The sequence below is a fragment of the Homo sapiens genome, chromosome 1 (assembly GCF_000001405.40).
Source record: "Homo sapiens chromosome 1, GRCh38.p14 Primary Assembly".
Taxonomy (NCBI): Eukaryota; Metazoa; Chordata; class Mammalia; order Primates; family Hominidae; genus Homo; species Homo sapiens.
Window position 1 is genome coordinate 233,010,808 of NC_000001.11, and position 12,787 is coordinate 233,023,594.

General features: G+C 45.2%; 1 protein-coding gene across 6 annotated transcripts in view; it reads right to left on the reverse strand.

Annotated features, from left to right (window-relative positions):
- PCNX2 (pecanex 2) overlaps positions 1–12,787 on the reverse strand; it is a 343,895-nt gene that overhangs the window by 27,373 nt on the left and 303,735 nt on the right. For 5 of the 6 annotated variants that reach the window (XM_047430870.1, NM_014801.4, XM_047430871.1 and 2 more), the window contains 2 exons: positions 6,114–6,347; positions 3,858–3,970 (listed from right to left, as the gene is read on the reverse strand). In XM_047430870.1, the coding sequence (XP_047286826.1) occupies positions 3,858–3,970; positions 6,114–6,347 (347 nt within the window). Of the gene's footprint in view, positions 1–3,857; positions 3,971–6,113; positions 6,348–12,787 lie in introns of those variants that run through there. The other variant, XM_047430872.1, reaches the window with a different exon arrangement.

The window sequence follows — 12,787 nt, forward strand, 5'->3', positions numbered from 1 at the left end:
GCATCTCATTTAAGATGAATTTCAATGTACTCATCCTCCCTAATTTTGCATGCATATATTTTTCTTTCTTCAGGACTATCCATCAAATCTATGTCAGTTTTGTAAAGTCAAGACATTTCCCCCAACAAATTGGTCAAGTGAAGCATATGTTTAAGACCTGCCTGGAGAGTCAGTGTTCACCATCACCTGATGTGCTTTAGCACTAACTATGTAACAATGACTTGTTGGGTCTCCTACAGTACACCTAAGGACATACTCCCCATTTTAAAGTTATACAACCATATAGCACATATGCAAACACACAATTATGAGCCATTCTTACTTTGCACATGAATATAATCATACTAAAAGATTAGCAAATTGAATCCATCATTGTATAAAAACAATAATATATCATGACCAAGTAGAGCTTATTTCAGAATTGTAAGCATGTTTCAACATGAGGAAATCTACTAATGTAATACAACATTAATATATTAAAGAAGAAGAATAATATCACCCAAATTATGCCCCCCAATTCTATACAAATTCAACATCCTTTCTTGATAAAGCTTTAGCAAGCTAGGAAAAGAAGAAAACTCCCTGCCTTCATAACAGTGGTTTCATAGAAAACCTAAACCAAACCCCATTTTAAAAATTAATTTTAATTTTAAGTTCCGTGGTACATGTGCAGGACGTGCACATGTTCTGGAGAAAAGAATGCTGCACAGAGAGGCCAAGAAGAATCTGAGCAGACTAGCCTTGCTGGGTTTAGGTAATGCCCTTTTTGTCCAATCACATTTCTGCACAGCTGTCCAAGCTTTAATCATGGACAACCAATGACGCTCCATAAAAAGCCCAAAGGACACAGTTCTGGGAGCTTCTAGAGAGCTGAACATGTGCAGGTAGATAGGAAGGTGAAGAAGAATTCATCCACCTGCCTGGAAAGTGGCACACCCCAACTTCACAGGGATGGAAGCTCCTGTGCTCGAGACCCTTCCAGACCTGGCCCTATGCATCTCTTCATCTGGCTGTTTATTTGTATCCTTTAAAATATCCTTCATAATAAACTAGTAAACGTGTTTCCCTGGATTCTGTGAACTGCTCTAGCAAATTCATTGACCCCAAAGAGGGAATTGTGGGACCCCTCATGTAGAAGCCAGTCAGAAGTTCAGGTGGCCCAGACTTGTGGGCCTCAACCTTCAACCTGTGGGTTCTGACACCATCTCTGGTTAGTGTCAGAAGTGAACTGGAGGACAGTTCACCACAGAAGTGGTGCTTGCTTGCAGGAAGAAATCCCACATATATTGGGGCCACAGAAGTCTTCTGTGTTGATGACTGTTGTTTTTGTGTGAGAAGAGAGGAAAAACATGGTTTGAGAGTTTTTCCCTAAACAGTATCTATAAAAATTATGTGTAAAATTTGAGCTCTGTAGACTATTTTTTTCAAGTCAAACTATTTATGGCACCCTAGCAGATTCAATAGAAATCCCAGCTGTTGGTTGAAGAGCGGTGGGGCCCTGCCAGGCTCCAACCTCCCCTCCCACTGCATCCTCCACCCCAATCCCCAGGCATATCCAACTAGGTCAGAACTTCATGACTTCAGACCATGGGCTTAGGGTGGGATGTAAAAGAAGTTGTCTTTTGTAAGTGAAAAAACTGAAAGGAAAGCGTCTTGGAGGATCTTTCTATGTGGTGGAACCTCTCGGTGAAGTGAACCAGTCCCAAATAGTCAAGTGTTTCCCTAGAATACTGAGAGGATTCTCCCCAGAGTTACCTCATCACCATGTCTGCAGCAAGTAGAGTTGACATTGAGTATGAGAAACTATCTGAAATAAAGGAAATTCCATCAAAACAAAGTTTAAAAAAGCAGCTGGTAAGCATGGTGTTTAATTAAAGAAAAAGAAATAAGGCAGACCAAACAAGAAACGCCTGGATCAGGAATATCTGAACAAGTTACACAAAGAACAAGACTGAAAAAGCTTTTGAAAATGCCTTAGATATGAACTGAGATAATATTTGCAACTTGAAGTTTATAAAACATTTCAAATTGATCCAACAAAAGAGCTTATTTTAATCATCTTCCCAGGTGCTACGAATATCTCAAGAGTCATTTTGTGATTTCAAGTGCAAGATCCTATGAAGCCCTTCTCAAACACTGTTCTCTGCTTACAGTTTAATAAGGAGCCCGATCTTAGGGGCCACATCACAATGTTTTATGAAGCCCACAGAGGAGTCATCTGTTAGACCTGCGGCAATCATCAAGCTTAGTCCCAGATGGCCACAAAGAGAATGCCCTGAGTCCAGTGTGAGACTGAGTCAGGTAAGAGGACAGGGAGAGACCAGAGGCCAGCCAGCTCCTCCCCAGGAGATTGGCCTAAAATAGGCATTAACATGAGACTTTAAGGGTCAGAGTTTTGGTATTTCTCACCTGTAAAAACGATCATGAAATTCTGAGACGTGGGAGTTGAAAGAGTAGTTGATATCACAAATCCTAACTACCCTTGGTTCTTACTTGTCCCTCTTGGTGACTCCAGGCTACTGCCTCCAGAGGAAAATGAAAAGCGCTGCCAGCCACACACTTTACCCTTTATCAATTCACAACTCTTACTTGATGATACCTCCCAACAACTTGCCACCAGTGTAGACTCACAGCTGCCCCTTTCAAGAAGGACATTTGGAAACACAGTCAACAAGGCTCCCTGGGCTTGGTTACCTGACAGCCCAGAACTGTGACAGTTGCTAAACAAATAGACAGGTGGGTTTTGCCCTTAACAAGCTTACAATCCCACCTAACGTCACAAAACTCACTCAAGTCAATATCAAAAGAACCTCTTTTGTAGAGCACCATCAATAATATAATATAGACACAATGAAGCAAGTCCAAGTAGAAACAATCCCAGACGGGCAGAGGCTAAGTAGAGGCCCCCTTTCTTCTCTAAGCTCCCTAGGTTTGTGTTCTCAACCTTGGCTGCCCACTGACATCACCTGAGAGCTTTTGAAACTTGGGATGTGTGGTCCCACCCACAGAGGTGCTGATGGAATTGATTAAATATCCTGGGAATCAGGATATTTAAAAGCCTGACAGGAGGTTTTAACGTGCACGTGGGGTTGAGAACCACTCATCAAGGTGATTCCACTTTGTGGGCAGACAGAGTTCAGCACCACAGCCCATAGTGCTAAAAAAGGGGACATCTGTGCAATGGCCACTGATTTGGGTGATTTGAAGCTGACTGATGAAATTTTAAGAGCAGTTTGGCATGAGTACTGTTTCTTTGGTGGACAACATCACCCGAGTGACACAGGGTGCCAAAGAGCCAGCAGAGTTTGATTTTGTTTCTGTTCTTTAAAAAGACAGACGTGAGCTATTTACCCACTGAGGGGAGAGACCCAGTAGAGAAAGGGTTTGAAAAACAGAAGGGGCATCCAATTCATCAAAGCTCCAAGGAGACGGGGTGAAGTAGGGTCTGGACTAGAGCTCAGATGTGAGGATTTTCTTTTATGAAGACAATTAGGGGAAAGGGACCTAACACTGAGCAGCAACTCTGTTAGGTACTGGGCTAGGCACTTCATAGGCATGATTTCATTGAATCTTCCCAGCGAATCTGCAAGGACTTCTGTAACACAGAAGGTCCTATATCCAGAATCCCTGGGTCTTGACTATTCCACGTGAATGATATTTCCAAATTGAATACTCCAAAAGAGCAGTGATCAAAAAAAATGTTCATGTAGGCCCAATATAATTTATTATGAAAAGAACTATCTGAAAGTAGTATAATAAGTCCAGCTTCAAAATAAAGGAAATGATTGACAAAATCTGTCAAACATGTGAAAGTGGGTGCCTGTACCTAAGAGATTCTAACTTCTCCCCCCAGGTACCTGATGGCCATATTGTGAGCGGCTGTTCCCAGAGCTCTCCTCCCCAGGGTGCACAGGGCGAAGGACAGAGTCACCAAGGGAGAGTCCTCGTCACTGTCCAGGGTCGTTGAAGGCTGAAAGAGCAAGAAGTTAACTCAGCTTTCACACAGATTCCAATATGTACCAACACACAGGCATAAATGTAGAGTGACATTGGCTTTGTAAGTCAGCCACGTGGTCATCCAGTCCCCTCTAAGATGACCCCACAGACAGGGAATGCTCAGCTTCCTGAAGCAGTTTCTCCTGTGGTTGGACACGGAAAAAAAAATAAAAGTGGAAAAGTTATTTTAGGAGAGAAAAGGGCCTACAATGTGGGCTGATGATCTGCTTTTCTGGGATTTGAAATATGGCACTTCAGGTCATAAAGATGGGCAGTGATTACAGTCAAATGGGTGCCCACCTTAACACTCTCCAATGCAAAGGAGAGGCATGGTCTAGCAGGGAGAGAAAAAGAACTTGGATCCAATGTGAAGGAGAGTCCTCTGTTCTCCCTAAAAGAAGGAGCCCTGTGGGTTGACTGCTAGACTGTAAGTCCACAATCAACAACCAAATTAAAGGAATCTTTTAGCTCGGGCATGGTGGCTCATAACTGTAATCCCAGCAATTTGGGAAGCCAAGGTGTGAGGATCACTTGAGCCCAGGAGTTCAAGACCATCCTGGGCAACATAGCAAAACCCCATCTCCATAAAATTTTTTTAAAAAATTAGCCAGGTGGCCGGGCGCGGTGGCTCACGCCTGTAATCTGAGCACTTTGGGAGGCCGAGGCGGACAGATCACCTGAGGTCAGGAGCTTGAGACCAGCCTGGCCAACATGGCAAAACCCTGTCTCTACTAAAAATACAAAAATTAGCCAGGCATGGTGGTGTGCACCTCCAGCTACCCAGGAGGCTGAGGCAGGAGAGTCGCTGGAACCCGGGGGGCAGAGGCTGCAGTGAGCCGAGATTGCGTCACTGCACTCTAGCCTGAGCAACAGAGCAAGACTCTGTCTCAAAAAAATAAAAAAATAAAAAAATATAATAAATTAGCCAGGCATTGTGGCATGTGCTTCTAGTCCCATCTACTAGGGAGGTTAGGACAGGAGGATCACTTGATCCTAGGAGTTTGAGGCTGCAATAAGCTATGATCATTCTGCTGCACTCCAGCCTAAGGAGAGTGAGACTCTGTTTCTTAAAAAAAGTTGTCCAAAGTCAGCTTTAAAAAAAAAAAAGGGAGGGAGAGTGGGGAGATGCAGAGGAAATTTAAAGTCAAAATATCTTTTGCAAGGAAAATAAAATAATTCCATGAACCATCTGAGGAATGGACAGAGCCATCATGGAGCTACAGCCGACAACATCAATCAATTCTTTGAATATCTCAACTGCTGAAAGAGGCCTGGCATGAGTTAAGATTATTATCACACCTTCTTTGTGGTTGGTCTGGAGAAAGCAGTTTCTGCCACCTGCTTCTTCTCCCACCTGTTTTTAATCACCCATAAGAAACTCACAGACCTTGGCTAGTGTCGTGGTTTGGTTTACTCTTTCTAGGACATGCCACAGACTGCATCAGCTGCTGAGGAAGTTGTTTCTAACTTGTACCCACATTTTCCAACAACAACCCATGGACTCAGCTTTTCAAATACTAAGAAGCAAAGTAAACCTGCTCCCTTCATTTGCTCCCTCCCCCTTCTCCTCCTCCCCTGCCCCTTTCTCCTCTTTTTGTAAACTGTCATAATTCTTGATTATATTTCTAAGAGGCAGGATTCACTTCCAGAAGTGTTCTCAGCACATACGCAATAACAGCACAGACACACAAAATAACGATGACAGAAGTTAAGTTGGACCATCTGATTGCTAAATAGAATTTTCATGTCCATGATTCAATATGTTCAGTAAATCCCCCTGATTTCAGCACAGACACACTTGGTAGGGAAATCCCAAAATGTAATTTTAAACAAAGAAGCTTCAAATGTTTAAGTTATAATAGAGGCTTAAAACTTCGCTGGCCCTGAGCACTGCATAAAGGGATCTATATCTTTAAGTGTCCTTCATTGGAGACATGGTATATTGATTCTCCTATTTAATTTTGCTTACCTTCAATAAACATCTGTCCAAATAGTGCTTTTTTTCTATCCTCTATGTTAAAAGTCTACCATAGAATATAAGAAAGAGATGGACATGACAATGTTCTTTATTTATTAAACTTACATTCCATGCCTCAGCCCCCACCTCCCTGACCTACCTCTTGTCTTTTCCGTGCACAGTGTTGAATCCATTCTAGATAAACATTGCAGAAGCTAGCTCGTGTGATCCCCTGGAGACACGGGACGTAGTCATCATCAATGTTAATGTTGAACATTGCAAGGTCACGCTCAATGTAATGCCACTTGGCAAAGGGCTGCAGGGACTTCAGAAGTGATTCATTTTTGATCCAGGAGAGGAGTTTGGGAGACGTTACCATATAGTATATTATACTCTGCAGAGAAAAAGCCAGGAAGATTTTATTTATTAATTTAATCTTAGAAAGTAAATCAACCTCAGGAAAGTAAGAGGCATGAAATCCCTACATGTGGTATCATTTGTATGTTCTGCTGGGTGTAATGCACAGAACTCATTTGAGACATTCTAAAATGTCCTTTTTTTTTTTTTTTTTTTTTGAGACGGAGTCTTGCTCTGTCACCCAGGCTGGAGTGCAGCGGTGCGATCTCGGCTCACTGCAAGCTCCGCCTCCCAGGTTCACGCCATTCTCCTGCCTCAGCCTCCCAAGTAGCTGGGACTACAGGCGCCCGCCACCACGCCCAGCTAATTTTTTCTATTTTAGTGGAGACGGGGTTTCACCATGTTAGCCAGGATGGTCTCGATCTCCTGACCTCGTGATCCGCCCGCCTTGGCCTCCCAAAGTGCTGGGATTACAGGCATGAGCCACCATGCCTGGCCTAAAACGTCCTCTCTTAAGGGTTATCTTCAACCTCAGGAAAGTAAGAGACATGAAATCCCTACAGATAGTATCACTTGTATTTTCTGCTGGGTGTAATGCACAGAACTCATCTGAGACATTTCTAAAATGTCCTCTCTTAAGGGTTATCTTAGGGAAGAGGAAAGTGAGAAGAACGTAATGCTAACAGAATGTAATGGAACATAATTTGTATGATGAGGAAGAATGACAGTCAGCCCCATCCTTTCTGAGAAAAGCACACAAAAGCACCCTCTGACGGGGTTGCTGTAGGCTTTGGTGGTTCCTAGGCTAGGTTGATTCAGCTGAAAGAGATTGGGGTAGACCTGCCTCCAGAGACCTAGCCAATGAGTATTTAATGAACTAAAATAACAGGGTTTTCAGTTTGTTTGTTTGTTTGTTTTTTGAGACAGCAGTGTCTCTCTCTGATTCCCAGGCTGAAGTGCAGTGGCACAGTCATGGCTCACTGAAGCCTTGAACTCCTGGGCTCAAGCGATCCTCCTGCCTCAGCCTCTAGAGTAACTAGGGCTACAGGTGCAAGCCACCATTTCTGGCTAATATTTTAGTTTTTTTTTTTTGTAGAGACAGGATCTTGTTGCCCAGTCTGGTCTTGAACTCCTGGGCTCAAGCATCCTCTTGCCTCAGCCTCCCAAAGTGCGAGGATTACAGGGGTGATCCACTGTGCCCAGCCAAAACAACACAGTTCTTATGGAAAGCATTGACAATGTGAAATTGTTGTAATCTTCACACACTTAATCCTGAGTGCCCAGACAGTGGACATCTGTGATACATTCACAAGTAACCCATGTTTCCTTCTTAATCAGACACTGTACTTATGAGTCCCACTTGGGGAAAATGCCTCCCTTGGGCTTGATTATTATGAGTAACAGCTTTGTGGAAAGCCATTTTGTAGTTTTTGAATAAATTCCTCCATCAAAAAGGCTAGCACCTGGCCTCAAGAAATAGAAATGGGACAGAGGAAATGAAAATCCAAGCCTGATAGGCTTGGATCAGGGTGTGCTGCTGTGGAGTCCCTGCCAGCGTGCACCGCAGTTCCATTATAACAGAAAAATGCAGGTGGTGCTCCAGGCTATTGAGGCTGAGGGGCACCCCTGGAATGAGGCTGCACATCTCACTGTGAAATCATGAGGGGCTGGAGGGCTCACAGTGTTTGATGCAAGGAGGCAGGGATGTGTGCTCCTGTTAGAAACAAACGCTTAATTGATGCTCTTCTCTGTTTATAAAAACATATTCTTTTTAAGTGAGAAAGCAGAAAACGAATATTGGGTGGACGGAAACGAAGTCTTCAGTGACTGACGCTTGTAAGTGGAGTGGGCTGAGAAACCCTTTTCTAGGGGGGCCCCCACCCTCCCTCTCTGGCTCTTCCCTCCCTCTGTCTGGGAAATAAAACCCAGAGCTCAAGGCCTCAAGTTTACTTGGGTATCTGGTTTCAAGGGTTTTTTTTTAGGACTTTAGCAGGTGAAGAGACAGTCTGTGATTTCCACTAAACAACTGCAAATGCATGACTTAGGCTCTCTGCTGTGAGGACTGAGGACAGCCTGGACTTTGGGGAGGTTCCTCTGTGGTTCATGGCTGATGCTCTCCCTTCTTTTGGACACACCTTCTATTACGCTCCACAGTCTACCTGTCCCAAAAATGAGGAAGTGGAAAAATGAAATCTGCAGACAATAACTAGAATTCAGTAGTGTGCCTGTTCTCCCATCCTCTGTAACACCCCACCATAACCATCCTGGCCTCAGGAAAGCCCTTCGATATAAGGAGGAAGGAAGAGAGGGAGTGATGGAGAAAGAGGTCAAGGAAGCTGAAGGCAGAGGCGGGAAAGAAAGACATGCTAATGATGCCCACGTTGCACGGCTGTTCTGAGGTTTAGAATGAGACAATCTATATGAGGAACTCAGCACATGGCCTGGCCCGTTGATATGTGTATATGTGGAAAAACAGTCATGCCTTTGACATCTGTGACTTACCTACCCAGCAAGCAGGATGAGCGTGGGACTCAGAGGGGAGGCAGGCAGTGGCAGCAGTAGCAGCAGCCCAGGAGAGGTTGAGGCAGAGGGGCGAGGGGACAGGGATGGCATTAGGGGACAGGAGAACCGTTGTGTCTGTGGTGGTCACCAGAGTGCACATCTGATATTCACAAATAGAAACTTTGAATCTGGAGGGTTTTCTCTTGTCTCCTTGCCGGCTGGATCATTTAAAGACAGTTTAAGTCGTCGGCCCAAAGTTGCAAGCAAAAGAGTAACGATGCCCATGTCCACGAGCACCGCTTCTCAGCTGAGCGTTACAAAGGGAAGAAAGAAATTTGGTCTCTCTAAACATCTAGCTCTAGTGAACAGCTGGTCTAGTTTTTCTGCAACATGGCCTAATCACATACCAGATAGGAATAACAAACAAAGACTGAAAGACAAAAGTTTACGTTTTCATTCATTGCTAGGGAGGAATTAAAACAACCCCACAACCGATGAAGTCAGAATAGTCAATGAGGACTTTGAATCCCAGAGGTTAACACTTCCTCCTCTCCGTCTGGCAAAACGCTGCAGTGCTGACTTCAGAACAGAACCCAGCTAGATGCTCAGTTTTCTAAATCACAGCACCGACACTTCTCACTGGGAGAAAACAGAACCACCCCAAATGCTTGCAAGTCATACCCTATCTCCATTTAATCTAGGCAGAACTTCTGTCACGGAGACACAGTCAATGAACACTGTAAAATCCTTCAGAATCTGTCCGGATGAGGTGGATACAACACTAAGTAAAACATAAATCGGGGCAGTGACAATGAATTGATGGGGTAAACCTAGACTGTGCTGAAAGCAGGACCCCTCCTGAATAAATTCACAATATCTGGCTCCTCCAGCAGGGATTCTCCTGGTTCCTCATTTTAACTGTAGATCAGCATATTCTTTCAGACAACTCATTCTAGGAAGGCGGGCCTGGCAGGCAGGCCAACCTGTCGGGTTGTTCGCGCCTCATTCTGCAAGGCCAGTGATAAGCGTGTCTCCTTTCTAAAAGAGCTGCCCAGAAACAATGACAGCAGGAGAGCCAGGCCCACACAGAAAGCAGCAGATTCCTTGACTGCTAAGCGGGTTTTAAACACTAATAATCTGAAGAGAGATGGAGGAGACACGAGGGAAAACCTCAAGTCGCCAGGAAGGAAATGATTTCAAATATATTCATACAGGGTGGGGGAACTGACCCAGTTTATTAGGAGATTTCAAAAAATTCCTTTTGTAGTAAAGGAATGATTTCAAATTTGTCTTCCTTTTCAATTTGCCTTTCCAGTAAGAAAATAATAAACAGAATGAAATCAAACTCTTGAAACTTTAAGTCATTCAGAGCTACAAAGGCAACTTTGTTCACCTAGCAACCATGCCAAAGAAGAAAATCATCTTTTTTTTTAACCCCAAAATGCTGTTTCTTCTGTTCTAATAGGCAGTTAGCCCTCCTGAAATTTCCCTTAACTAGCTGCACTGGGGAATGAGTGCAGGTTCCAAGCCACCCCTTGCTGAAGGGCAGAAAAGCACTGAGTGCTGTATTTGGAGGCAACCTCGCAGGATAGGCCTGGCAGTACCAATGTGAATTAAACACGGGGGCACCGTGTTTTTGGGCATCTGCCCAAAAATCTCAGCCCCATCCTGAGTGCTGACTTGGGAGTTAAGAACATTCTTGTTTCTGTGGGGCACAATTACGTCTGTAGTAGCTCCAAAGCCTACTTGTATATCAAATCACTTAGGAAACTGATTAAACAATATAAGTCCTTGGGTCCCGGGAGGTGGAGGTTGCAGTGAGCCCAGATCACACCACTGCACTCCAGCCTGGGCAACAGAGTGAGACTCTTTCTCAAAAAAAGAAAAAAAAGTCCTTGGGTCCCACCCCAGGCCCATGGAATTCGAATGTGTGGGTAGGACATGGGAATGTGTAGTTAACTAGCTTGCAGGGGAGGAGGGGAGTCTGCTCCAGGTTTGCCCTGGCTCTGGCTTGTGAGAGGCGCCATGCTAGGTAGCACACCCATGCACTGCCTGCCTCTCCTAGCCCACCTGCAACTCCCATTTTGCCTTCACTCTCCTTTCTTAAAAAACAGAGTGGAGGGCATGGTTTCCTCACAAGCCAGCTATTACCCGGCAGGTTCTGGGGGAGCCTTCCTGAGCCCTTTTCCATTTGCACATGATCCTGGATTTGTCAAATGGCAAATTGTCATCTTAGAAATCATCTAGGGGACTGGGAGGCACATTTCCAGCAGTTAGGAAAAAAGAAAGGTGAGTATCAACTACCAGTCCAAGGAAAGAAGGCATCAAAAAGCTCGTCCAATCATGGAACCTCCAAGGCCTCTGTAAAAGCCAACAGGGTTAGGCCAGGGAGGATGGACCCAGACAGGGCATCTCACTCTCATCCCTCCTCCCTTCTCTCCCACTCACGGTGATCTGCTGGCCCCATGGTGACGAGTTGGGCCTGTCCACGTGTCTGGCTCATGGAAAGGCAGGGATGTGGCTCAGTATTGAACCCCAGTCCCACTACTCGTGCCTGCAGCAGGCCACCAGACCCTTGACTGAATTAGGATCTCTTCTGTCCAGACTGTATGGCCCAGACTCCAAATCCATGTTCCCCAGAACCTTTGTTCATTCAGTACAAAAAAACAAATTGGGCCATGCAATAAACAGGTCATCAAGCAGAGCTCTGAGGACCCAAAGAGGACTCAGTTGTGGCTTCTCTGTTTAGGGAACTGCCATAGAGTGAAGTAGGAAAGTTTGCAGAGCAAGGGGAGAGGAATGCTGGGCATGGCCCCGGGCTGTCAGCTGGTGAGGAAGAGCTGTTGAGACTGAGGTTGGAAGAGAAGCTGCGGGCATGTGGAAGGGAGAGGAGAGTCCCTGCAGGAGGAGCAAGCAGTGTGCAAGCATGTGGGGCAGGGAGCACAGGTAGTGTGTGCACAGTGTGTACACAAAACAGTGAGAGATGGGGGGGGAGTGGGAAACACAGCCAGTGGCAATACTGGAGGTCTCTGGGTAGCAGATGAAAGAGTCTAGCCTAATTCTTTCTTTTTCTTTCTTTTTTTTTTTTTTTTTTTTGAGACAGAGTCTCGCTCTGTTGCCCAGGCTGGAGTGCAGTGGTGCGATCTTGGCTCACTGCAACTTCCGCCTCCCTGGTTCAAGTGATTCTCCTGCCTCAGCCTCCCGAATAGCTGGGATTACAGGCTTGTGCCACCACATCCAGTTAATTTTGTATTTTTAGTAGAGATGGGGTTTCTCCATGTTGGTCAGGCTGGTCTTGAACTCCCGACCTCAAGTGATCTGCCTGCCTCGGTCTCCCAAAGTGCTGGGATTACAGGCTTGAGCCACTGCGCCGGGATGAGTCTAGCCTAATTCTTGAGGCAACAGGAAGATGTCAACTCCAGGGCTTATCTACGTGGCTGTCTAGACCCACACTGCTGGTCCTCACTGCCCCCTTCCAGCCACTTGCTTCACGGGCCTGTGAGTCCTCTTGCTCAGTCAGCCCCTGGATCTAGCTGTTCCTGCAACCACCCTGTCCTGCCTCCTGAAAACTAAAGGAAATACTCAAGGGACACTCTCCTTGTTGAGGGAGATAACAGAGATGGCTAGTTACCATTTATCATCTGTTTTCTCCTTCTTCTGTGAACACACGATTTCATTCTGGGCTCATGGCTGCCCAAAGTACACTTTCCAGACCCTCTTCCAGGTGGCATGTGACAATGTTCCGGCTGATGGGATACAACAGGAGGATATTGTGGCAGCTTCCTAGAACCTCATTAACAGACTGCTGATGCATGCCCTTGGTCTTCATTTTCTGTGTCCTTTCCTCTATCCCTTTAAGCCTGTAACTTAAATTGTGGAACTCAAATTTTGGAAGCTACCATACCAACCATCATCAAAGTCCAAGAGAAATAAGCTTCTAACATGCATGCCACTCTTATTTCATGGCTCACTGCC